This window comes from Homo sapiens, chromosome 4, assembly GCF_000001405.40.
Source record: "Homo sapiens chromosome 4, GRCh38.p14 Primary Assembly".
NCBI classification, from domain to species: Eukaryota; Metazoa; Chordata; class Mammalia; order Primates; family Hominidae; genus Homo; species Homo sapiens.
This window is the reverse complement of record NC_000004.12, coordinates 116600930-116604705: the sequence shown is the minus strand read 5'-3', so window position 1 is coordinate 116604705 and position 3776 is coordinate 116600930. Positions and strand designations below refer to the sequence as shown.

The window sequence follows — 3776 nt, the reverse complement described above, 5'->3', positions numbered from 1 at the left end:
AGAGGCACTGAAGTGGTAGGAAAAATAGTCTTGAGTCACTGATGACACCCTTCCTCCAGTCCCCAGCGGTGGCAGTATGGTAGAGAGAGCAGTTCTGTGAGAGGTAAAGTGCAGCAATTGTGAGGCATTGAACATGTAGTGCTACCCTTTTATAGCAGAAAACAAAACCGGACCAAACATAGCTGACGCCCACCCATGGAGAAAGTATTTAAGCCAGCCCTAGCCAGAGGGGAATCACCCTTCCCAGTGGTCCGCACTTGAATTCCCACAAGCCTAACCACTGTGAACTAACATGGCTTTGGGCACCTAAATAAAATAGAAAGTCAGCCTTGGCCACAAGAACTGAAATTCCTAGGTGAGACCTAGTGCTGAACTAGGCCCAGAGCCAGGGAACGGGGGGGGCACATAACCTACTAAGATACCAGCCAGGATGACTAAGGGAATACTGGCATCACCTGTCTCCTAACCCAGATTAAAAAAAGCTTGTGACTCCAAAAGAGACCCCTTCCTTCCACTTAAGGAAGGAGGACTTTGTCTTGGATTTGGATACCAGCTCAGCCACAGCAGGATAGGACACTGGTCAGAGTCGTGAGTCCCCGTTTCCAAGCCTTAGCTCCCAGATAACTCTTCTAGAAACACCCTGATCCAAAAAGGCAGCCTTGGCGTTGAAAAGAAGGACCCAGTCCTGGCAGGATTTGTCAACGGCTAACTGAAGAAACTTTGGGCCATGAATAACCAACAATGATAGCAAGGTTCTATTTCAAGGGCCTTGGGTGAGTTTCTGAGACTTTCTGGCCTCAGGTGGGACTCAGAGGAGTCCTAGCTATGGTAGCTATAGGGTGAGACTCCTCCCACTTTAGAAATGAAAAGGGAAGAGTAAAGATTTTTATCTTACCTTTTAGTTACCAGCTCATCCACAGAGGAGTAGAACACCAAGGAGGCTCTTGGGTTGGCTCTTAGACAGCATTTCCGGACCTGCCCTGGACCACAGTGGAGTCTGTTGCCCTGAATGGTGAGTACCAGCACAGGCAGCATTAAATACAAATTGACTGAAGAGACCTTGGGCCTTAAAGGAACAATGACAGTCATCTGTCAGGACTGTCTGTGGGCTGTGATGGTGGTGACCATGTGCTGAGACTCCTCTGCCTTTGGAAAGGAGAGGGATGAATGTGAAGCACTATGTCTCATGGTTTGAGTGTCAGCTCAGCCACAGTACAATAGAACACCATGAAGATGTCTAAGGACCTGGGGAATCCTGTCGCCTTGAAGGGAAGGACACAAGCTGGGTTGGCTTCGCCATTGGCTGACTGTAGAGCTTCAGGGCCTAGAATGAACATAAGGAGTAGCCATTGAGTGATTACAGCAGGCCTTGGGTGAGAACCAGTGCTGTACTGGCTTCAGGTATGATCTAGCACATTCCTAGTGGTGGTAGTCACAGAGGTGCTTGTGTCACTCCACCACCAGCTCTAAGTGTCTCATAACAAAGAGAGACTTCATTTGTTTGGTAGAAACTGAAGAAAGAGAATAAGAATCTCTGCCTGTGAATCCAGAGAATTCTCCTGGATTTTGTCTAAGACCATCAAGGAAATGCCCCTGTGGATCTTCAAAAACCACAGTGTTACTGTGGTTGGGTAACCCCTAATGCAGATACAGCTCAGAGCACAACACTCAAGTACTTCGAATATATGGAAGGATTTCCCAACAAGGATAGGTACAAACAAGCCCAGACTGAGAAGACTACAATAAATACCCAACTCTACAATGCCCAGAAACAGACAAATATTTATAAGTATCAAGACCACCCAGGAAAACATGACCTCAATAAATGAACTAACTTAAGCACCAGGAATCAATCCTGGAGAAACAGAAATATCTGACCTTTCAGACAGAGAATTCAAAATAGCTGTTTTGAGGAAACTCAAGAAATTTAGGACAACACAGAGAAGGAATTTAGAATTATATCAGACAAATATAACAAAAAGATTAAAATAATTTACAAGAATGAAGCAGAAATTCTGAAGCTAAAAAATGCTATTGGCATACTGAAGAATGCATCATAGTCTTTTAACAGTCGCTTAACAGAATTGATCAAGTAGAAAAAAAGAATTAGTGAGCTTGAAGACAGGTGATTTGAAAATAGAGGAGACAAAAGAGAAAACAATGAAAAACAATGAAGCACACTTACAGGATATAGAAAGTAGCCTCAAAATGGCAAATCTAAGGGTTATTGTCCTTAAAGTGGAGGTAGGAAAAGAGATAGGGGTAGACAGTTTATTCAAAAGGATAATAACAGATAATTTTTCCCAAACCTAGATAAATTATGGGTATGGACCTTTAAGAAATACACATTCTTCCTTGTAACTCCCAAGGACATCTGGAGGAATAACAGAGAAGTTCATATGGCATTCCTCTGACTATCTGGATAGAGGTAGCATTCTCTGAGTGTCCTTAAAAATTCTGAGGACATTCAGCATGATGAGTAGACAGCTTCAAAGATAACAAATACTATTGACAATCTTCAAAGGTGGAACATTCTGTGATCCAAATGATGTTTATTCAGTTACTGCCCAGAGTTCTGAAATCCCTCCCCAATTGCTATCTTAATCTAATCCATTCACATTACTTTATATAAAAATAGATTCAAACTTGCTGGAAATGCTACTGATTTGACAGTCAAGAAAATGCTATTCATGTATAAGGAAAGCAAAATATGTGCCTAATTCTGACAACCTTGAATTGTCTTTGACTTTCTAGTTATAGATGATCACATCTCAATTTTAGTCCTTGACACAACATGGTGGTGCTAGTATAAAGAGTGTGTTGGGGAAGGACTAAGCTAGAGCCAGAGTGACGCCTTGGGAAGCTGCCCCTATCAACCAGTAGAAGAAAAATAAAGGCCTAAACCAAAGCAAAAGTAATGGATTGGCCGAAACTGGAAGTGGGGAGGTATATAAACATAATAAGCAGAATAGACAATTTGGAGACTCAGTAGATCTGGGTTGAAAAGAAAGTGGCATTTAACGTGGTTCCCAGATACCAAACTTAGAATAGAGATGAATTATGGTGCTATCCAAGATACAGGGAGAAATATACAGTTAGTAGATACAATGTATCCTTGTGGCTAGGTAAAGATTTCATTTTTTTTTTTTTTTTTTTTTTTTTTTTTTTGGAGACAGAGCCCTTGCTTTGTCACCTAGGCTGGAGTGCAGTGGCATGATCTCAGCTCACTGCAACCTCCACCTCCTGGGTTCAAGAGATTCTCCTGCTTCAGCCTCCCGAATAGCTGGGACTACAGGCTTACACCATTATGACCACCTAATTTTTGTATTTTTAGTAGAGATGGGGTTTCACCATGTAGGGCAGGCTCGTCTTGAACTCCTGATCCACCCATCTTGGCCTTCCAAAGTGCTGGGCTTACAGGTGTGATCCACCATGCCCGGCCACCTTAAGCTATATATATATATATATATCCTTAAATATACAACTATATATGCATCCTGGAAAAGCAACGTTGTGTAGTGGTTAAGACTACTGAGTGGTAGCCAGTCTATGTGGGTTCATGCCTCAGGTCTTCAACTTTATCAGTATTTATTTGCAGGGAGAAAAACCTTGGGAAAATTACTCTCCCTTCTCAGTTCCTTTAAATATAAAATAAGAACATATGACATACTTATTTCATGAGAACTAAATTAGTTAATTTTACTTTATAATTATTTTTAGAACTTAGCAAATGATAATTTAATGTTTATTAAATAATTAATAAAACTAGTTTCAAA

At 41.4% G+C, this 3776-nt stretch overlaps 1 annotated feature.

Moving 5' to 3' along the window:
• Window positions 292–1491: an enhancer, noted in NCBI's record as "MED14-independent group 3 enhancer chr4:117524371-117525570 (GRCh37/hg19 assembly coordinates)". NCBI's record gives its function as "activates an origin of replication core promoter dependent on BRD2, BRD4, P300/CBP and CDK7 cofactors, and independent of MED14, by STARR-seq in HCT116 cells {active_cell/tissue: HCT116}" and the evidence as "EXISTENCE:reporter gene assay evidence [ECO:0000049][PMID:35650434]".